General features: G+C 50.5%; 5 annotated features.

Moving 5' to 3' along the window:
• Window positions 2534-3143: an enhancer, noted in NCBI's record as "H3K27ac-H3K4me1 hESC enhancer chr12:125130641-125131250 (GRCh37/hg19 assembly coordinates)". NCBI's record gives its function as "activates a minimal SCP1, AML or CMV promoter by ChIP-STARR-seq in primed H9 embryonic stem cells {active_cell/tissue: H9 hESC(primed)}" and the evidence as "EXISTENCE:reporter gene assay evidence [ECO:0000049][PMID:30033119]".
• Window positions 12701-12995: an enhancer, noted in NCBI's record as "tiled region #4504; HepG2 Activating non-DNase unmatched - State 22:ReprW, and K562 Activating DNase matched - State 5:Enh". NCBI's record gives its function as "activates a minimal TATA promoter and a strong SV40 promoter by Sharpr-MPRA in HepG2 and K562 cells {active_cell/tissue: HepG2 | K562}" and the evidence as "EXISTENCE:reporter gene assay evidence [ECO:0000049][PMID:27701403]".
• Window positions 13001-13641: an enhancer, noted in NCBI's record as "H3K27ac hESC enhancer chr12:125120143-125120783 (GRCh37/hg19 assembly coordinates)". NCBI's record gives its function as "activates a minimal SCP1, AML or CMV promoter by ChIP-STARR-seq in naive H9 embryonic stem cells {active_cell/tissue: H9 hESC(naive)}" and the evidence as "EXISTENCE:reporter gene assay evidence [ECO:0000049][PMID:30033119]".
• Window positions 14980-16179: an enhancer, noted in NCBI's record as "MED14-independent group 3 enhancer chr12:125117605-125118804 (GRCh37/hg19 assembly coordinates)". NCBI's record gives its function as "activates an origin of replication core promoter dependent on BRD2, BRD4, P300/CBP and CDK7 cofactors, and independent of MED14, by STARR-seq in HCT116 cells {active_cell/tissue: HCT116}" and the evidence as "EXISTENCE:reporter gene assay evidence [ECO:0000049][PMID:35650434]".
• Window positions 15626-15675: an enhancer, noted in NCBI's record as "active region_7295". NCBI's record gives its function as "activates an Ori minimal core promoter by ATAC-STARR-seq in GM12878 lymphoblastoid cells {active_cell/tissue: GM12878}" and the evidence as "EXISTENCE:reporter gene assay evidence [ECO:0000049][PMID:35858748]".

Raw genomic sequence — 21902 nt, 5'->3', positions numbered from 1 at the left:
GAACAGCACTTATCTCTTCCAGAAACTGTGTGATGACACACACAAAGAATTGCCAACCAGAGAAGCTCGCCTGAGCCTCAGTGTCCAGGGTTTTTATTGGGGGTCAGGCACATAGGCATGGAGCGTCCACGTAGCTGACCTCAGTTACTCACTCTCCAGCCCCTACAGTGGTCAAATATTCTGTGTGGCTCAGGGCACCAGGCAAATGAAAACAGGCATTCAATATAGTCAGGTTGTTAGCATCAACCACGTGGTGTGGCCCCTGGCCCAGATACAAAGACACTCATATCAGGCATGATATTCCAAGGGTGTGAAGGTTATGTCCAGAGCTGATCAAGGTCCATTCTTTTCTTTGGAATGTGCAGGGTTTGGACAACCCAGGCCTGCTGAGTTCACTCTCCACTGCCTCACTGAAGTGAGGCTTGCCTGCACAAACCCGTGGACACTGCCTAGTGCTGGCTGCTATTGTCCTGGCTGCGTAGGACTTATTGTTTCCTTATAGGATTGTTTCACCAATTGTTTCCTTACGGGATTATCAACATCTTGAGGGCAGGGATTATACCTCCCTCACTTCTGTACTCCTGAAAAGCCCAGTGCCTTGGCTGGTCCAGAGGAGGCCCTCCATGAGAATCTGGGAGGAGATGTGATCTTGTAATTGTGTGTTTATATGATGACTGGTATAACTGTTGTCTCCTTCACTAGATTTGAAGCTTCCTGAGGGCAAGTTTGTTTGTTGTTGGTGTCAGATCATCTCATTTCTGTCTCTCAGAGTCTAGCTGGGGCTCGATAAATGTTTGTTGAATGAATAAATTGATTGGAAATTCTTTGTCAGCAGCTAGGCCAAAGGCTAGTAAAAATGAGAGAACAGTACATAGTTCCCACTTACAAGGGGGCCTGCATCTAGTGAGAGAAATAAAACACTATGATTGTAAAGGTGGCTGAGCATTTGCCGTGTGCCAGGCACCAGCCTGAGGGGCTGACAGGTATGTGTGATGTGTCCTTTATTCCTCAGCTGGAAAAGGCAAGTATCTCACTATCTGCACTAATTAGGTCCCTGCAGGTGACAGCTCAAATGGGGGCCATTGAGGTGATGAAATGAAGGGATGATTATAGGGGGGTGGGTGGGATTTATGGAAACAGTGGGGGGGGGGGTGTGGCACTGAGGGGGTGGCACCATGGGACCCCCTTAGTAGTCCTAATCCTGAAGGAGCAGGAGAGTGGATAGAGCCTAGAACCAGTGAGGGTCCGGTGGGAGGCAGGATAATGGTCTGCAGAGATGTCCGCATCCTAATTTCTGGAACCTGCAACTATGTCAGATTACATGGCAAGGGGAAATAGGGAGGCAGATGGATTGAGATTGCTAATCAGCTGGCCCTGAGATGAGATTATCCTGGATTACCTAGGTAGGCTCAGTGTCATCACCGGGGTCCTTAATAGTGGAAGGAGGAGGTCAGAGTCAGAGAGATTTGAAGATGCTACACTGCCAGCCTTGAAGTCAGAGGAAGGGACCATAATCCAAGGAGGGCAGGTGTCCCCCAGAAGCCAGAAAAGGCAAGAAACAGGTTCTTCCCTAGAGCTTCCAGAGGGAGCACACCTGCTGATGCCTTGATTTTAACCCAGTGAGACCCATGTAGGGCTTCTGCCCTCCAGAGCTCGGAGATGATAAATGTGTGTCCTGAAGCCACTGTGTCTGTGGCCATTTGTTACAGCAGCAACAGAAGACTGATACAGGCAGTTGCAAGAACAGGCTAGGCCAGGCACAGTGGCTCACGCCTGTAATCCCAGCACTTTTGGGAGGCCAAGGTGGGAGGATCGCTTGAGCCCAGGAGTTCGAGACAAGCCTGGGAAACATATCAAGATACCGTTTCTACAAAAAAATCAAAAAATTAGCCAAGTGTGGTGGCGTGCACCTGTGGTCCCAGCTACTGGGGAGGCTGAGGTGAGAAGGCTGCTTGAACCTGGGAGGTTGAGGCTGCAGTGAGCTATGATGGCACCACTGCTCTCCAGCCTGGGCTACAGAGTGACACCCTGCCTCAAAAAGAAAAATAAAAAAGCGCTGCCCAAAGGAGCTGTGATGTCAGGAGAGGGACACAGCCACTCCCAAACCTCAGCCCTGGTGGGCAAGAGCCGGGGGATGACTGCCCCTACTTCCTCCTGTCTGCCCTCCATCTGCTGCCGGTGATTCCCATTGGTCAACCTCAGCCAGAGGCCGGCAGGTCGGAGTCTGTTGATGCAGCCTATGTGGGTCAGCCCCAGGGGACACAGAGCCAGGTAGAAGAGTTGGGGGGAGGGGGGCATTCTAAATAGTCCTCCTTACTTTACAGTTGGGGAACTGCAGGCCAAGAGTGGCCGATCCCCTTGCATGAGGCAGGATTTGAATCCGGGATGTCTGGCTCCTGGGCCCCGGCTCTCCACCCAGGCAGGGGAGCGGTGTGTGTCTGCGTGGGGAGCCCAGCCACGTGAGCACGCGGCGTGTATGTGTGTGTACTCGCTGCTTCGCGCCCACCCTGCCCCCGCGCTCGGGTTTCTGTGGGCGTTCTCTTTTTTCCGATCTGTGTTACCAGCAGCGAGTTTCAAAAGCAGGGAGAGAAATGAAATGACACTTTCACTAAACAGGAACCTCACCCACCATCTCCGCTCGCGCGGTGCCTGTGTCTAATTAGGGGTTGTGGAGTTTGGGGTGTGAACGTGAAGCTGCTGCTCCCTCCACAGGCGGGCGGCTGGGGTGGGCGAGGTAGACACCCCGATTCTGGGAGGCGGGGCCCCTCCAGAGGCCCTGGAGACTAGGGAAGCGCCCAAGGCAAGTTGCAGGAAGGGCTCTGTGTGCACCCACAGATGTTCTAGGAAGCAGGAGGTTTGGGGGCCTCGTAGGCCAGCACGATTGCAATTAGGTTTTTCACGACACCGTGGTTTGAAGCCTGTTCCTTAGGACTTAAAGGAGAAGGGGAAAGAATTCCATGCAGGTGAGAATCAACTACATATGACTCCATTTCATGCCGGCAGCGGCCAAGGAACTCTCATGACACCTGACTTGCAGTGGGGCTAGGATCAAGGGCAGCTTCAAAGCTCCGCATTTGGCCCCCCTGGGGCTGGGTGGGGACCCCTGTCTGCCGCCCCCTCCCCCCCAGCCCCACATCCTGCACTGTGCTCAGTCTTTAGCCCCTTCCCTCCCCCACCGCGCTGCTTGCAGCTTGGGCCTTAGTACATGCTGGTCCCTCCAGGGCAGTGCTGTTCCCTGCTAGTCCCTGCTTTCCTGGCTGTCTTAGCTTGGGCTGCTATGGTAAAATACCATCAGCTGGGAGGCTCAAACAACAGACGTTTATTTCTCATGGTTCTGGAGGCTCGAAGTGTGAGATCAGGATACCAAAAACGCTGGATTCTGGTGAGGGCCCTCTTCCCGGCTTGCAAATGGCACCTTTCCCTGTGTGCTCCCCCGACCTTTCACCAGTGCGTGCCCCTAGAGAGAGTGGAGGTGCTGGATCTTATAAGGACACTAAGCCCATCCCGGAGGCTCCGCCCTCATGACTTTAACCCAATCACCTCCCCAAAGCCTCCATCCTAATAACACTCGTGTGGGGGCTGGGATTTCAACTAGACGTCTTGGGGGTCACGTCCAGTCCATGACACTGGCCTTGTGCATCCTATTCATTTCAGCCTCCCCAGGCCACTCCCTCTGGGGCAGACGAGAGTCAGGCTTAGGGCTTTTGGAGCTGGACCACCTGGGTTCAAATCCCAGCTCTGCCACTTGAACTGAGTAACTTTGGACAAGCGACGTGAGCTTTCTCTGCTTCAGTTCCATCTGTAAAATGGGAATAGAGATAATATCTTCCTCACAGAGCTGCTGATAAGAATGGAATTAAGAAAAGTATATAGAATATACAATCGTGGGGGAGGAGAGAGAAGCATTGGCCACTATTTCTCTTTGACCCATTCAAACAGATCTCCCTGTAAGGAGAATGTGCGGCCCGTCCCAAAGCTCCCTCACTGACTTGGAGCAGCTGTCGTGAAGCAATCTGCAATCTGCAATCATGTGTGTTTATCTGTTTAACGTCCATCTGTCCTGCTTGTCCATGAGCCCCTTGGGGATGGAGGTCATATCTTTTTTGCTCTCCCTGTGTCCCTAATACCTTAGCCTCAGCACCTGCACATAGTAAGGACTCCGTTAAAAAGTTCCGTAACTGGGCGCAGTGGCTCACACCTATAATCCCAGCACTTTGGGAGGCTGAGGCAGGTGGATTGCTTGAGGCCAGAGGTTCGAGACCAGCCTGGCCAACATGGCGAAACCCCATCTCTACCAAAAATACAAAAATTAGCCAGGTGTGGTGGCAGATGCCTGAAATCCCAGCTACTTGAGAGGTTGAGGCAGGAGAATTGCTTGAACCCAGGAGATGGAGGTTGCAGTGAGCTGAGATTGTGCCACTGCACTCCAGCCTGGGTGACAGAGTGAGACCCTCTCTCAAAAAAAAAAAAAAAAAAAAAAAAAAGGCCAATTGCCTAATGAATGCCAAGGGCCAAAGCCCCTGGGTTTCTGCTTCTAAAATAGAGCACACAGAGCAAAGTGCACCAGTGTCAGTGGAAAGCATATGCATGAAGCTAGCCCCCATTCCCAGCGCCCAGGGCAAGAAGTAGAACATGGCCCTCTTGAGATCCTCCCTGTACCCCCCACCTATGTGCCCCTTCCCAGCTACCCTTCCCCTCCTCCCCAAGGGCCAACCAAGCCCCTGCCCCTTGTGGTAGCCCCTTCCCTGCCTCTCCTTAGAGGTTTTCCACCCAAGCGTGCACCCCTAACACTATGGACTAGTTTTGCCTCTTCTAGGAATAAAAAAATGGAATCAGGCCGGGCACGGTGGCTCACGCCTGTAATCCTAGCACTTTGGGAGGCTAATGCAGGTGGATCACCTGAGGTCAAGAGTTCGAGACCAGCCTGGCCAACATGGTGAAACCCCATCTCTACTAAAAATACAAAAATTAGCTGGATGTGGTGACACATGCCTGTAATCCCAGCTACTCAGGAGGCTGAAGCAGGAGAATCACTTGAAGGAGATCGTGGAGGTTGCAGTGAGCTGAGATCATGCCACTGCACTCCAGGCTGGGCAACAAAGTGAGACTCCATCTCAAAAAAAAAAAAAAAAGGAATCAAATGGTGCATTCTTCTTTTTATTACTTTATTTTGTTTTAGATACAGGGTCTCACTCTGTTGCCCAGGCTGGAGTGCAGCGGCACAATCACAGCTCACTGCAGTCTCGAACTCCTGGGCTTAAGCCATCCTCCTGCCTCGGCCTCCCAAATAGCTGGGACCACAGGCCTGTGCCATGACGCCTGGCTAATTTTTGTATTTTTTGTAGAGATGGGATCTTGCTGTGTCGTCCAGGCTGGTCTCAAACTCCTGGGCTTAAGTGATCGTCCTATCTCAGCCTCTCAAAGTGCTGGCCTACCTCAGCCTCTCAAAGTGCTGGGCTTACAGGCTTGAGCCACTGCGCCACGTCTGGCTTTTTGTTCGCATGAGATCCACACACGTGTGTGTATCAGTCCTGTGTTTCCTTTAATTGCCGAGGCTCCATCTTACGGCTGTCCTGTGATTTGTTCATCTTTTCACCTGTGGATGGACATCCGTGGGTTGTTGGTCTTTTTATTCTTTTTCCAGTTCCTGGCTGCTATGGATAAAGCGGCCATGAGAATTCATCTTGATGTGGGCATATGATTTCATTTCTCTGGGGAATATATGGCAAGGAGTGGGATTGCTGGCTCACGGGATAGGATGATCTTCAGTTTTAGTACCTAATATTGCACGGATGTCCAAAATGGCAGAGCAGGTTCAGCAAGAATCCCCGGTTCTCTGCAGTGCCGCCAGCTCTTGATGGTGTTGGCCTCTAATTTTTGCCCATCCGTCGGGCATGGGTCTCTCCTCCTCTTGTGGTTTCCCCCATCGCTGGAATCACCACGGCAGCACCAGATCGTGCTGGCGAGCACAGGTCGGGAGCCCAGGTCCTGAGTTGGAACCCTGGCACTGCCATTGCTTGGCGATATGGCGTTGAGCAGGTTACTTATCCTCTCTGTGCCTCAGTCTCTTCACCTGTAAAGTGAGCGTGTTGGTCCATTCTGGCTTCGATCACAAAGTATCTTAGGCTGGGTAATTTAGAAATAATAGCAATGTATTCCTCACAGTTCTGGAGGCTGGCGAGGCCAAGTTCCAGGTGCCAGCAGGTTCTGTGTCTGGTGAGGGCCACTCTTTGCTTCATAGATGGCACTTCCTGTGTCCTCACATGGTGGAAGGCAGAAGGGCAAGGAGACTAGGGCTCTCTTTCCATCCTCTTTTTTTTTTTTTTTTTTTTTTTTGAGATGGAATTTAGCTCTTTTTGCCCAGGCTGGAGTGCAGTGGCATGATCTTGGCTCACTGCAAACTCGGCCCCCAAAGGTTCAAATGATTCTCCTGCCTTAGCCTCCCAAGTAGCTGGGCTTATAGGCACCTGCCACCATGCCTGGCCCTTCAACCTCTTTTGTAAGAGCCCTGATCCCATTTGTGAGGGCAGAGCACTGATGATTTAATCATTCCCCCAAAGGCCCCTCTTGATACTACTAATATTAATATCATGTTGGGTGCTAGGCTCCAACATGTGCATTTTTGCTGCACCCCGAACATTCAGACCACAGCAGTGGGTGTGACAACTGTACCGTCCAGAATGAAGGGGGCTGACACAGGTAAGGAGCCTGGTGTACAACAGGCACTCAGGGAGCCTCAACTTGAACTATTATTTTTTATTTTTATTGTTAGAGATAGGGTCTTGCTCTGCCGCCCGGCCTGGAGTGCAGCGGCACGATCTCGGCTCACTGCAGCCTTGCCCTCCTGGGCTCAAGTGAGCCTCCTACCTCAGGCCCCCGAGTAGCTGGGACCACAGGCATGCACCACCATGCCCAGCTGAGCTTGTGTGTTTGTTTGTTTTAGTAGAGACAGGGTTTTGCTATGTTACCCAGGCTGGTCTCAAACTTCTGGCCCCACGCTCTCCTGCCTTGGCCTCCCAAAGTGCTGAGATTACAATTGTGAGCCACCGTGAGCATCCAATGCTAATTATTTATTTTTAAATATTGTTACTCTGCCTGGGATGGGGCATTTGCTTCTCTGTCCTGCTTGCAGAACTGGGAGCTCCTCAAAGGCTGGAACCTCCCTTCTGCCCAACACCCCTACATCTTGGGCACTTTGCACCGTGAAGGTTTGTTGAATGAATTACTGACTGACTTGTGCTGGATCCCAAGTGAAGAGCCTTAAGACCCAAAGGTTGGTAAGATGAGGTTTAACCGAGATGGGCTGGAGCCTCCCTGGGGGGAACAGGCAGTGCTGGGACCCTCCCCTGCACAGCCAGAAGCCAAGACAAGGACTGCAGGCGCTGGCAGTGGGTGTGGTGCTGAGAATGGAGCTGGTGTGGCACATATGCTTAAGAAATTCCTGTTGGCATCTGGCGGGGTGGCGCTGGGTCAGCACTTTGCAGGAAGCCTCTCTCTGGGCAAGGAGGGAGCTAGGGGCTAAGGAGACAGGCACTTAGCCAGAGGCAAGCAAATCAAACACCAGAAGATGTCGCTTCTCTTCTTGGCCTGTTATTTCTAGGGTAACATGGTGGTTCCCCCGTAAGCTTGCTTGTCCAAGCCACTCTCCAATCTTGTCCGCCAGATCTGTGACCCCCAGGGACTGACCCTGATCCCGTTGTCCTCTGGCTCCTGGTTGGGTTTGGCCAATGGGAGGCCCATCAGAAGATTGGAGAGTGGGAGGAGAGAAACCAAGGCCAGGGAGAGAAAGTCACTTTCTCAAAGACAAACTCATTTAGTGGCAGAGCTGAGACATGATCCCCAAACCCCTGACGCAGATTGTGTGTGTGTGTGTGTGTGTGTGTGTGTGTGTGTGTGTGTGTGAAAATATACATGATATAAAATTCTCCATCGTAACCATCTGAAAGTGTACAGCTCAGTGACATTAAGTGCCTCCACCATGTGCTTGGGGACTTCCAGATCATCGAGAGCTAGCTCCAGAACACATTCGTGGCCCCAGAAGGGAAAACCAAACCTGCTAACCCTTGATCTTGGAGTTTTCAGCCTCCAGAACTGTGAGAAAATAAATGTCTATTGTTGAAGCCACACAGCCTGTGGTCTTTTGTGACAGCAGCCCGAGCTGATGAACACACCCACCAGCAGCCACGTGTGTGCGCCATCTTGGAAATGGGTGTCTCTGCCTCAATAAAGCCTTGAGATGACTGCAGCCCCAGCTGATACCCTGATTGTACCCTCGTGAGAGACCCTAGAGCAGAGCCACCCAGCTAAGCTGCTCTCCAATCTCTGACCCACAGAAACTGTGTGAGATCACATATATTTATGGTTGGTTTTAGGATATTTTGTTACGTGGCAGTGGATAACTAATACACCCACCAAGAAGGAGCCGTGCAGTCATTTAGTTCCCAGGCTTGGTTTGACCCAGCCCATGGAGGTGCTGTTTCCCTCTCCCTTCTGGAGCAGATGAAGCTCTGTGCTGTGGAGTGTTGGCTCTGGCTTTCCCAGAGCTCTGACCCATGAGACGTAGGAGGTGGATGGAAGCTAGCACAGTCTCATGTGACCCACTGTCCAGCTGTGGTTGATGTGATGCCATGACCATCTCAGAGGCCCGTCACCTTGTTTGTCCCTTTGCTCTCACTCTTGCCGTCCTAAGCTTGCACCCCATCAGAATAGCATTAGCCAGGAAACCCTGCCTCAGCCTCTGTGCTCCAGGTAACCTGGGCTAAAACAAAGAGCTGCCAATCAAGGAGCTCCACCTTCTCCTGATCAAGAGTTGACCCAAGTGAGGCCAGCAGCCTCTCTTACCCAGATTTTGAATCTGGGAAAATATGAAGAAATAGCAGGGAGACGATTCATGCCACAGGCAGTGCCCAGGCGAGCCGAGTTGAGCTGTTCTGTCATTTTTGTGAGTCATCCTCTTTCCTTCCCCAAACCCCCTTCGTGCTTGAGTTTTGGACTTGGTTTCTGTTGCTTGCAGCCAAAGATCTCTAACTCAGAGAGATACAGATTCTAGCTGTTATTTTTGCTTTTTAATTCAATGACTGATTTATGCTCAGCATATAGTTGATGTTCAACAAACACTTGTCAACTATGAGTGAATAACACACCCAGCATTCCGCAGGAGGCTCCCAGGCAGATGGGCACTTAATCAGGACTACTTTTTTTTTTTCAGGACTATTTTTAAAGTTCTGCAAGGAAAGACACTCTAAAAATTTCCCTTAGCAACTTTTCTAAACGTCTAGCAACACGATGTCATGGGTTTCTTTCTCACACCCGAGCCAGTTTTTACCTATTGCATCTAAAACTCTCTTCTTTCTTTCCTTGTTTTTTGTTTGTTTCATTCTTGTTATTCGTTGAACAAATCTCTGTTGTACACTATCTCTTCACCATATCCCACAGGGAGAACATAAATGATAGATGTCCCTTTGCCCTCGAGGAAAGAGACTGTTGGCTGGAAGTCAAGGGGCCTGAATTTTAGTCCCTTCCTGTTACTGGGCGTCAGTTTCCCCACTTACGAAATGAGGGCTTTGTGCTAGACTGGGCACAGCCAGGAGCTTTAATCCTGTGCCAATTCCTAGATTGCACTAAGGTCTAGGCTGAGGATTCTCAGGCAATGCTCAAGCTCAATGGGAGAGAGAGCTGGGATTGATTTCTGATGTCTGCCTAGGTGTAGGCAGGGAAAGTGCTATGTATTCGCCAACCCTGAGCTTGGCCATCTCAGAGTTCCCTGCAAGTTTCAGCAGTCTCTGACCTGGGGAAACTCAATGGGGGAGACATGGAATATTCACTCACAGACATCAAGTAGGTGGCAGTTGCAGCCAAGATTCACTGAGAGTTCTGAGCAGGGAACAGTAGCTGGGGGCCAAGGATCCTTTCCAGTTGGTAAATGGGTTGGGAGTTGCCTGGCTGGGGAGATGCAGAGATTTTGGCAGACAGATGGGTAGCTTTTCTAGGACGTTGAGAGAAGGCCTGGGGTGAATTGGGGATGTCAACTCAGTTAGTCCTTCTGGGCCTGAGGTGCATTCCAAGGTGTGGGAAGGGGTGTTAGAGGAGGGCGGTCCCAGCTGACCCCCTCCTCCCCTGAGGTCCCAGAGTCTTCTTTGGGTCTCGGACCTGGGCCCCCTTACTTGGAGGAATTAAAGTATCTTACTTTTCCCGGATTCTGAGCTTTGGGGGATTAGATTCGGTATGAGCCTCTGCTGGCATATGGAAAGGGCCTGTTGGCAACAATGATATCACAGCAATATCCACCCTGACCATCATGGGCTGAGCACTCATCACAGGCCCAGCGTGATGACAGCGACCTCCAGGACGCCCCTAGGAGTTGGTGCTGCCCTTGCCTCCTGCAGTCAGATCCCCAGAGGACAGTCAAAGCAACACTTGCCATCATCCATCAGACAATGCGCAGCCTTGCCTTCAATTTCCAGAGGCTCTCGTTGCTTCTAGAAGAAATCTGCATGCATTACCATGACTTTCAAGGCCCCACCCACCCCTCCATCTTATCGCGGACCTCTCTTCTATCCCCTCTGCTCCGTTCCCAATAGCTTTCCCTCTGTTCTTCGGACCCACTGACTTGTTTCTGCCGCAGGACTTTGCCCTTGCTGTCCCCCCAGCCTGGCACGCCTTCCCCCCAGATGTCTGCTTGGCTGGCTCTTCCTCATCCTTCGCTTCTGTCTTAATTCTTTTAAACACCAGTTGGCAGCGCCAACTCCTAGGGACGTCCTGGAGATCACTACAACAAAATACCATAGATTGGGTGGCTTATGAACAGTAGAAATTTATTTGTCGCAGTTTTGGAGGATGGGAAGTCCAAGATCAAGGCAGATTGGGTGTCCGGGAAGGGCTCGTTTTCCGGCTTATGGATGGCCGTCTTCCCACTGTGTCCTCACGCGGTGAAAGGGACGGGGGTCTCGTGAGAGCCTCTGTTATGACGGCACTAATCCCACTCATGAAGCCTCCACCCTCGTGACTGAATCACCCCCACAAAGGCGCCATCTCCTAAACCCATCAACTTAGGAATTGGGATTTCAACATATGTTGGGGACACCAACATTAAGACCATAACAGGACAAAACATTGTGCAGCTGACATCGGTGCTGGCTTCGTTGTGATGAAATGTGGCTTCTTTACACCCATGGTCCAGACAAGGACACGGAGGCCCCAGGATGCTGACCTGGGAGTGAAGGAGCGTGTGTGCTGGGCGGGGCAGGTCTCCTGTACATGCTCCGGAGACTCCCCCCGGTTTCCCGGAGGCCAGCTCTTGCTGCACAGGAGTGAGCCTGCCACAGCCTACCTCGGGTGCCAGCGTCCCCCTGGGGTGGCTGGGAAGTGCCACAGATGCGGGATCAGCATGCAAGGAAGATGCAGCCCCGGGGCCGGGACTGTCTTTCTATTTATTACCCTATGAATCACGGCTTGGCTTTTCCCAGCAATCCTCTTGGCAGCTAATAGATTTTTATCTTCAGCTGCTGAGCTGGAAGGCACCTGGCTGTGGACAGGTGAACGCCCAACCTGACTCCTTTCTTGCTGGGGCGCTGGGACAGGGGTGGGGGTGGTGAGGAGGTCAGGTGGTTCCCCATGATCAGTGTCCTGGGGCTAGGCCCCCAGAGTCAGACGTGTGAACAGAGAGCAGGAAGCGCCCTTCGGAGCCTGACCCTAGGGATCCAGGAAGCTGGGGGCCTCCCAGGCTCTAAAGCTGTGACTCCCAAACCCATGATCAACGCTTATTCTCCATCCTCCTGATTCCAGGTGAATAAGAACAAGACTGGGGAGACGTACAGTGCAGTTGTTAAAAGCAAAATCATTGCTCTAGAGCTGTGTGACCTTAGGCAAGTCACCTCGCCTCTCTGAGCCTCTTTTTCCTCATCTGTAAAGTGAGGATAATAACAGTAGCCATTTGGGCCAGGCATAGTGGCTCACACCTATAATCCCAGTACTTTGGGAGGCCAAGGTGGATGATCACTTGAGGCCAGGAGTTCAAGACCAGCCAGAGCAACATGGTGAAACTCAATCTCTACTACAAGTACAAAAATTAGCTGGGTGTGGTGGCACACGCCTGTAATCCCAGCTACTTGGGAAGCTGAGGCAGAAGAATCGTTTGAACCAGGAGGTGGAGGTTGCAGTGAGCCGAGATCTCACCACTGCACTCAAGCCTGGGTAGCAGCAAGACCCTGTCTCAAAAAAAATTAATAACAATAATAATGATAGTAGTCATTTGAATGGAGTGTTATGAAAAAATAAATGAGTTGATATAAATTGAATGGGTTAAAAAAAGTCGTGCCTGGAATATCACATGTTATACAAGTTAGCTGCAATCATGTGTCTATATATGCGAGGAGAAAAAAGATGGGAAGGAAATACACTAAAATGTCACTGTGAAACCGCCGTTGCGGAATTATGACTGAGACAGTGAAAGAGATCTAACTAAACAAACTCCATCTTGCTTCTAACCTCCAAGCTGTCCTTGTTCATTCCTGGGCTTAGGCTGAACTAACTTTGGAAGAAACTTAGTTTCTAGTTTAAACAAAGACAACATAACAACCCTTTCCTAAAGCAGCCTCCTTCTTGCCTGGGGACTAGATTGCCTTTATAGGACTCACATTAGCCACAGGCTTAGAAATTATGGTTTAGCAGTCATGCAGCTGGAGGCTACAAGATTCTGACCCTCCCTAAACTGCTCCTAAAGTCAGGGCTTGAGATGTTTTGCAGACCCTGCACGTGATGCGTCAGCTGGCACCACCCAGATGCATAAACTGGCTCCTCTGATCTTGTGGCCCCCACCCAGGAACTGACTCAGCACAAGACGACAGCTTCGACTCCCTATGATTTCATCTCTGACCAATCAGCACTCCTGGCTCACTGGCTTCTCCCCACTCACAAAGTTATCCTTAAAAGCTCTGCTCCCTGAATGGCTTGGGGAGACTGATTTGAGTAATAGTAAAACTCTGGTCTCCTGCACAGCCGGCTCTGCATGAATTACTCTTTCTCTATTGCAGTTTCCCCATGTTGATGAATTGGCTCTGTCTAGGCAGCAGGCAAGGTGAACCCCCTGAGTGGTTACAAGTGGAGGTTGTTGGACCAGAATGAGGGGACAGATCTTTATTTTTATTTTCTTCTTTAAACTTGGAAGTTTTTCCAATATTTTGCAATAAGCACATTTTTATGGTCCTAAAAGCTAACCCCCTTTTAAAACCTGCAAGTTAGAAATTCCGTTGTTGAGATGTCATTGACAGCCCTGTTGTCTTGGGAGGTGACAAGGTTTGGTATTGACAGCCCATCTTGGAATTGCCATCTCAGGGCCACAGAAGGCAGAAAGCAGCAGGTGGGGGTGGTTCACTGACCCTGGGGCAGGAGACTGGGCACAGTGTGAGTGTCCCAGCATCGGGGGCTGGGCTTCCAAGCTTGGAGCCAGGGACATTGTCAACCACTTTGGAAACAGTTAGGAAGTTCCTACTACATCTGAACATTGCCTACTCTTTGACCCTGCAATTTCATTCCTTGTGATACAGCAGTGCATTTATATGTCTAAAATAAGACACCCACTAGGAGGACATTAACCACAGCGCTCATCATAATTGCCAAACAACCCAGATGTCTATCAACAGGAGAATGGTTAAATAAATCATTCTATCTCACAATGAAACGTTATATAGCAATGAAAAAGAGCTACCTGCAGCTATACTCGACTGCATAGTGTTTTTATGAGTAAGTTCGTAATGTAGTGCAGGCAAGAAAAGCAGGTAGGCACAGCAGCAAGAAAAGCTAGGCACACAAGCACACGTGTGTAGCATTCCATTTCTATCAAAAGCATAGACCGCCAAGATTCAGCCATCGTGGAAAAGGTAGTGGCTGAGGGGGAGCAGAGGGGTTTCTGGGTGCTTCTCCTCTGGTCATGTTCATCTGGGTGTTGGGTACACGGACATGCTCACCTTTGGAAATGCATTGCTCTGTGCACTTATGATCTATGCACTTTTTTTTTTTTTTTTTTTTTTTTAGGTGGAGTCTCACTCTGTCGCCCAGGCTGGAGTGCAGTGGCTTGATCTCATCTCACTACAACCTCTGCCTCCCTGGTTCAAGTAATTCTCCTGCCTCAGCCTTCCGAGTAGCTAAGACTACAGGCATGTGCCACCACATCCGGCTAATTTTTGTATTTTTAGTAGAGATGGGGTTTCACTACGTTGGCCAGGCTGGTCTTGAACTCCTGAACTCAAGTGATCCATACCCGCCTTGACCTCCCAAAGTGCTGGGATTACAGGTGTGAGCCACCGCGCCCAGCCTGTATTTTGTATTTCAGTAAAAATACTGGAGACAAACGAGAGATACAAGATCATGGCAGTTCTCTCTTCTTCCACCGGACATTGCTGTGTCTGCCTAAAATGTCGAATTGGCAACAGCCATTTTGTAACCACGGGACACAGAGCAAAGTCCGCAGAGCAGAAAGGTGGAAGGATCCTGGATTCCTGGTGAGGTTGAAGCACTCAAAAGGTGGGTCTTGGTCCCCTCCGCTTGAACCCGGATGGACTTTTGTGATGACCTCAACCACTGGGTGTGGTGGAAGTGGCTGCATGAGTTCTGAGGCTTGGTCATTAAAAGTGATATGGCCGGGCGCGGTGGCTCACACCTGTAATCCCAGTACTTTGGGAGGCCGAGGTGGGCAGATCACTTGAGGTTAGGAGTTCGAGATCAGCCTGGCCAACAGAGTGAAACTTTGTCTCTAATAAAAATACAAAAATTAGCCAGATGTGGTGGCACACGCCTGTAATCCCAGCTACCTCAGAGGCTGAGGCAGGAGAATCGCTTGGGCTGGGAGGCGGAGGTTGCAGTGAGCCGAGATTGCACCACTGCTCTCCAGCCTGGGCGACAGAGTGAGTGAGACTCTGTCTCAAAAAAAAAAAAAGTGATATGGCCTCTCCTTGGATCTCTCTTGGGACACACTCAGGGGACCCCCTCATGAACTGCAGGAAAGACGTCTGGCTTTCCTGAAGCCACCATGCTGAAATGAACACACAAGCAGGAGAGCGACGCCCGAGGAGGACCAGCTGTTTGAGTCTGCCCAGCCCAGGTGTCAGACTGTAAATGAAGACGGCAGCCAGATGACACTGCCAGCCACCAGCCCCTCTGACTGCACCCTCCAAGAGATCCAGAGCTCAAACCGCCCTGGGGAGCCACTCCCGAGATCTTACCCCCAGAAACCATGAGGTAGAGAATGATTCTTGTTGCTTTAATCCTCCAAGTTTGGGGGGTGATTTGTTGTGTAGTCAGAGATAACGAATACGCCACCTTCATTCTGAGCATTCATCATATGAAGTAATACGTCTTCCTTATTGCTTAAGCCAGAGGTCGGTGAAAATTTTCTGTAAAGGGCAGACATTAAATATAATTTTAGGCTTTCCAGATCACATGGTCTCTATTGCAATGACTCAGCTTGCCGTTGTTGCATGAAAGCAGCCATCGGCAATAGAAATGGGTGGGCGTAACTGCATTCCTATAGACCTTCATTAACAAAAACAAGGAGCCAGACCATAAGCAGCAGTTTGTTGACCCCTGGTTAAAGCCATTTTTGAGTTAAGTTTTCTGTTACTTGCAGCCCAAAACATACTGTTACAACTATCCAATCAGAGAGCTCCAGGCAAAGGGCAACCACAAGAGGCTCTAGGGTGTGTGCATAGTTCTCTGGGGTGTGTGCCTGGGCTCTGGGGTGTGTGCATAGTTCTCTGGGGTGTGTGCCTGGGCTCTGAGGTGTGTGTGAGCTCTGAGGTGTGTGCATAGTTCTCGGGGGTGTGTGCATCGTTCTCTGGGGTGTGTTCTTGGGCTCTGGGGTGTATGCCTGGGCTCTGGAGTGTGTGCACAGGTCTGAAAATGTGTGTAGAAGTCAGGATGTGTACACAGGTCTGAGTGTGTTGTGTGGGCTCTATGGTGTGTGCCAAGATCTGGGGTGTGCATGGGTTCTGGGGGTGTATGTGTGAGCCCTAGCATTATGCGAATGGGCTCTGGGATGTATGCACAGGTCTGAGTGTGTGCATGAGCACACAGGTCTGAGTGTATGTGTGAGAGCTCTGGGGGTGTGTGCATGAGCTCTGGGGGTATGTACAGGTCGGGATGGGTGTGTATGAGCTCTGGGGGGGTGTGCACAGGTCTGGGTGTGTGTGTTTCTGTGTGTGTGTGAGCTCTGGAAGTGTGTGCATAGGCTCTGGGGTGTATGCATAAGCACACAGGTCTGGGTGTGGGTGTGTGAGCTCTCGGGGTATGGGCACGGGTTCTGGGGATGCATGCCTGAGCCCTGAGCGGGCCCCACTCACCCACCATCTTATCTACTGAGACAAGAAGGGCTGGGCTGTTCGTTCATGAAGTCTCCTGGGCATCTCTTATCATGTGATCCCCAGCCTCTGCGTCCTCCTCCTCCTCACAGGCTCCAGGATCTCTGGAATCCAACTCACTGGACGCCCAGCCAGTCAGGCAGGCAGGGAGTGTGGAGGCCTCCCCTCAAGTAAGGACCTAATGGCTAAAGCTGGGCATGGGACAGGCCTGTGCAAAGAGAGGAGAGGGAGGAAGGACCAGGGTGTGCTGGAAGCGTATCCTCCCTCTCCCCGGCCTCTCTCCTCCCACCTCAGATGGGCCTGGAGGAGATTAGCTTCACTCACGGCAGTAATTGTTTGCTGAGTGCTTGCTGTGTTTTAAGCTCAGCATTTACAAGCAGGTGACATGGAGAACTCTAGGTGCTGGACATGCTGTTAGCCCCATTTCATGGACGAGGGAATGGGCGAACAGAGAGGGAAGTCACTGTCCTGGGGACCCACAATAGGAGGCAGGATGCCCACCCAGGCTGGCTGTCCCCACGCCAAGATCTAGGATGAGTCCTCAGTCAAAGCCAGAGCAGACCCAACGGAACCGCTCAGCCCCCTGACAAGGCAATGAGTCTCGCCGGCCAGGGGGGCTCTGCCCCCGCCCCCACCCAGGTGGGTCCCCTGCCCCCAGGCTGGCAAGGTGCTGGGGGGCTGATGCCGGAGCCCCTGCTGCTTGCCGCCTGCCTGCTCATCTTGTTTGTTCCAATTATGTCAAGTAAGTCATTATAATTTTATGTTTTTTAGATTAACATTTTTGCTCAAGGGCATAGTAATTAGCAAGCGGCTGGGAGTTGAACGATTCTGAGCAATAGCAAGGGAAAGTTTTTCCCAGTATATCTTTGGAGAGGCCTAGAGGCTTCTGGGCTGCCCAGGCAGCCCCTTAGCTCCAGGAGACGGAGGTTTGCACAGTACAGACAGGCTGGGTGAGAACAAAATGGCCCCGAAGTCCTGTCCACCAGCCCAGGGCGGTGTGGGGGCCACACAGCAGAGGGGCGCCCCACGGCCGAGACTTCCCATCACATCTGTCCCTGGGGAGTCCCTGCTGGGGAATTCCTCTCCCTCTACCCATTTTCCAGGTGCCTTATCTGTGTTGTCCAGGGCCTAGAATTGTGTGTGGCACACAGTAAGCGCCCAGTAAATGCTTACTAATTAAATAAATGGAGAGAGGTTACAAACTGGGGGCTCGTAGGCAAATCCAGCCCTTGATGTGTTAAACTGAGCCAGCACAATCTATTTTATACCTTTCTTTCTTTTTCTTTTCTTTCTTTCTTTTTTTTTCTTTTTTTGAGACAGAGTCTTGCTCTGTCACCCAGGCTGGAGTGCAACAGTGCGATCTTGGCTCACTGCAAGCTCCAGCCCCCGGCTTCACGCCATTCTCCTGCCTCAGCCTCCCTAGTAGCTGGGACTACAGGAGCCCGCCACCACGCCTGGCTAATTTTTTGTATTTTTAGTAGAGATGGGGTTTCACTGTGTTAGCCAGGATGGTCTCGACCTCCTGACCTCGTGATCCGCCTGCCTCGGCCTCCCAAAGTGCTTGGATTACAGGCCTGAGCCACCGTGCCCCGCCGGTTGCCCATTTTTATGGTGATTTCTTGACGATATGCTAAACAAGGGGTGGATTATTCATGCCTCCCCTTTGTAGACCATATAGGGTAACTTCCTGACGTTACCATGGCATTTGTAAACTGTCATGGCGCCGCTGGGAGTGTAGCAGTGAGGACGCCCAGAGGTCACTCTCGTGGTCATCTTGGTTTTGGTGGGTTTCTACTGGCTTCTTTACCGCAAACTGTTTTATCAGCAAGGTCTTTATGACCTGTGTCTTGTCCTGACCTCCTGTCTCATCCTGTGACTTAGAATGTCTTCACTGTCTGGGAATGCAGCCCAGTAGGTCTCGGCCTCATTTTACCCGGCCCCTGTTCAAGATGGAGTTGCTCTGGTTCACACGCCTCTCACATTCCCACAGAGCTATAAGTGCTGGAAGCAAAACGTGGCTACACCCTCTCAACGTTTCCCATCTGACCCAGTGAGATTTAGGTTCAGTACCTTGATGTACAGAGGCTCACTCTAGCGGCTTTACACAACAGAGTCTCTTCCCTGTAGAACGGTTCATGGTCAGCGTGGGCATTTGGGTAGAGGAGGGTTCCTGCCATCCTGGGGTCCACTGTGCCCCAGAGCTTCAATGCTGCAACAGCTTCCACTTGGTGGAAAAGAAAGGGACCCAGGAGCACACAGGGGAGGCTTGGAGGGTCAGGCCTGAGAGGGGCCCACGTCACTTCACTCAACTTCCATTGCCCAGAGCTTGGCCCCATGGCCACTAATGACTGCACAGGAGGCTGGGAAACTCTGTCTTGCTGTTTTCCCAAAGGAAAGGAGAGCGGATTCTGATGGAGGCAAGTGGTCTCTGCCCACAGCCTGCTTCTCTCACCCAGCCCAGGAAAGCCATCATCTCCTCCTGGGTTTGCAGTCTGGCTCTTTCATCGTTATACGTAAGATCCTTCCCCCCACCCCCAAATCTATTGTTTTTGCCATAAAATTGATATCTGGAACTCTTCCTGGCTGAGGTTTTGCAGCTCAAAAGCCCAGATTCTTGGAATCTGAAAGCACTGGCTTCTGAAACTGAGTAACATTTGTTACGCTTTTCTCTCCTACTTTTCCTCCCCTGGGCATTGGATGGCACACAGTCTAGTTTGGCAGAAGGCACAGGGAAGGGGCAAATAATTCCTGGGATAAAAGGGCACTGGTTAGAAATAGTATCCTGAGATGTGACAATATGACACAAAGTACAACGTGGCGCGTCCTGACCTAGCAATTCCACTCCTAGGTATTCACCCAAGAGAAGCAAAGGCATGTGGCCTACATATTCCAGCAGACAAACGCTCGTAGTAGCTTTATTCATAATAGCTAAAAACTGGGAACAGTCCAAATGTCCGTCAGCTGAACAGATAAATTGTTGTGTAGTCATGCCATGGAGTCCCACTCAGCACTAGAAAGGGATAACCTATTGATACACACAGCGCCGTGGATGACTCCCAGAGCCACCATGCTGAGGCAGGGGCTGGCACGGCTCTTCTATCCAAAGGGCTGGGTCAGCCCGGGGCACGGTGGCTCATGCCTGTAATTCCAACACTTTCGGAGGTTGAGGCGAGTGGATCACTTGAGGTCAGGAGTTCAAGACCAGCCTGGCCAACATAGTGAAACCCCGTCTCTACTAAAAATACAAAAATTAGCCAGGCATGGTGGCAGGCGCCTGTAATCCCAGCTACTTGGGAGGCTGAGGCAACAGAATTGCTTGAACCCGGGAGGCAGAGGTTGCAGTGAGCCGAAATCATGCCACTGCACCCCAGCCTGGGTGACAGAGCGAGACTCTGTCACAAACAAACAAAAAAACCCCGAAAAAACAAAGGGCTGGGTCAAACTTCTTTGGCTTTGCGGGCCTCCAGTCTCTTTTTCAGCCTCTCAACTCTACCTATGTAGCATGAAAGAAGCCATACCCAATACACAGGTGAATGAGCATGGCTGTGTCCTAATAAAACTTTATTTATGGCCAGGGGCAGCAACATATGCCTATGATCCCAGCACTTTGGGAGGCCAAGGTGGGAGGATTGCTTGAGCCAGGAGTTTGAGACCAGTCTGGGTAACATAGAGACCCTGTCTCTACAAAAAAATACAAAAATTAGCCAGGCACGGTGGCACGTGCCTATAGTCCCAGCTCTTCAGGAGCCTGAGGTAAGATTGCTTGAACCCAGGAGGTCGAGGCTGCAGTAAGCCATGTTCACACCACTGCACTCCAGTTTGGGTGCCAAAGTAAGACCTTGTCTCAAAAAAAAAAAAAAAAAAAAAAACAAAACTATTTATGGACACTAAAAATCATATCTCATATAATTTTTATGTGTCATGAAATATTCTTCTTTTGGTTTTTTCAACCACTATAAAATGCAAACGCCCAGGAACGCTCCCTCACTGCTGGTGGGAATGCAGAATAGTTAAACAACTGTGGAAGACAGTTTGCTGGTTTCTCAGAGAGCTAACCATAGTCTTAGCAGACTATCCAGCAATCACACTTCCAGGTGTTTACTCAAGTGATTTGAAAACTTACGTCCATGCAAAAATTTGCACATGAATGTTCATAGCAGCTACAGTCATAAACACCCTAAACTGGGAGCCACCAAGATGCTCTTTAATAGGTGAATAGGGTTGAGGCCCCGTGGCTCATGCCTGTAGTCCCAGCACTTTGGGAGGCCGAGGCAGGTGGATCCCTTCAGGCCAGAAGTTTGAGACCAGCCTGGGCAACGTGGTGAAACCCCGCCTCTACTAAAAATACAAAAATTAACTGGGAGTGGTGGTACCCACTTGTAATCCCAGCTACTTGGAGGCTGAGGCAGGAAAATCGCTTGAACCCAGAAGGCAGAGGTTGAAGTGAGCTGAGATCGTGCCATTGCATTCTAGCCTGGGTGACAGAGCGAGACTCTATCTCAAAAATAAATACATAAATAATTTTTTTTTTAAAAAGGGTGAATGAATAAACAAACTGTGGCACATCCAGAGAGTGGACTATTACTCAGTGCTAAAAAGATGTGAGCTATCAAGCCCCAAAAAGACATGGAAGAAACTTAAATGCATATTACTAAGTGAAAGAGGCCGTTCTGAAAGGCTGCATGCTATGATTCCAACTATGTGACATTCTGGAAAAGGCAAAACTATAGAGACAGTAGAAAGATCAGTGGCTGCCAGGGGACTGAGGAGAGGGAAAGAGGGATGAAAAGATGGAGGCCAGGGGACTTTTAGGGCAGTGAATCTCTGCATGATGCTACAATGGGGACTACGTCATGGTACATTTCTTTTTCTTTTTCTTTCTTTTTTTCTTTTTTTCTTTTTTTTTTTTTGAGACAGACGCTCACTCTGTTGCCCAGGCTGGAGTGCAGTGGCGTGGTCCCAGCTCATTGCAACCTCTGCCTCCTGGGTTCAAGTGATTCTCTTGCCTCAGCCTCCCGAGTAGCTGGAATTACAGGTGCCCGCCACCACACCCAGCTAAGTTTTGTATTTTTAGTAGAGAAGGGGTTTCACTATGTTGGTCAAGCAGGTTTCGAACTCCTGACCTCGTGATCTGCCCGCCTCGGCCTCCCAAAGTGCTGGGATTACAGGTGTGAGCCACTGCGCCCGGCCGGTACGGTTCTTAAAACCTATAGAACCCTACAACTCCAAGAGTGACCCCCAATGTAAACTAGGGACTATAGTTCATAGTGCTGTGTCAATATTGATTCCTTAATTGTAACAAGTGTACCACACGAATGCAAGATATGAATAACAGGGGAAACTGTGTACCGGGTTGGGGGGGTGGGAATTGAGTGTGTGTGCATGTGGAATTCTCTATACTGTCTACTCAATTTTTCTGTAAACAAAAAACTGTATTTTAAAAAGTCTATTTATTATTTTTTAAAATACAAAAACAAAAGTAAAAACCATTCTTGGCCTGCAGGTCCTACAAACCAGGCAACAGGCCAGATCTGGCCCCGGGAGGCCTGT

The sequence above is a fragment of the Homo sapiens genome, chromosome 12 (assembly GCF_000001405.40).
Source record: "Homo sapiens chromosome 12, GRCh38.p14 Primary Assembly".
Classification (NCBI taxonomy): Eukaryota; Metazoa; Chordata; class Mammalia; order Primates; family Hominidae; genus Homo; species Homo sapiens.
This window is presented reverse-complemented; position numbering and strand designations above follow the sequence as displayed.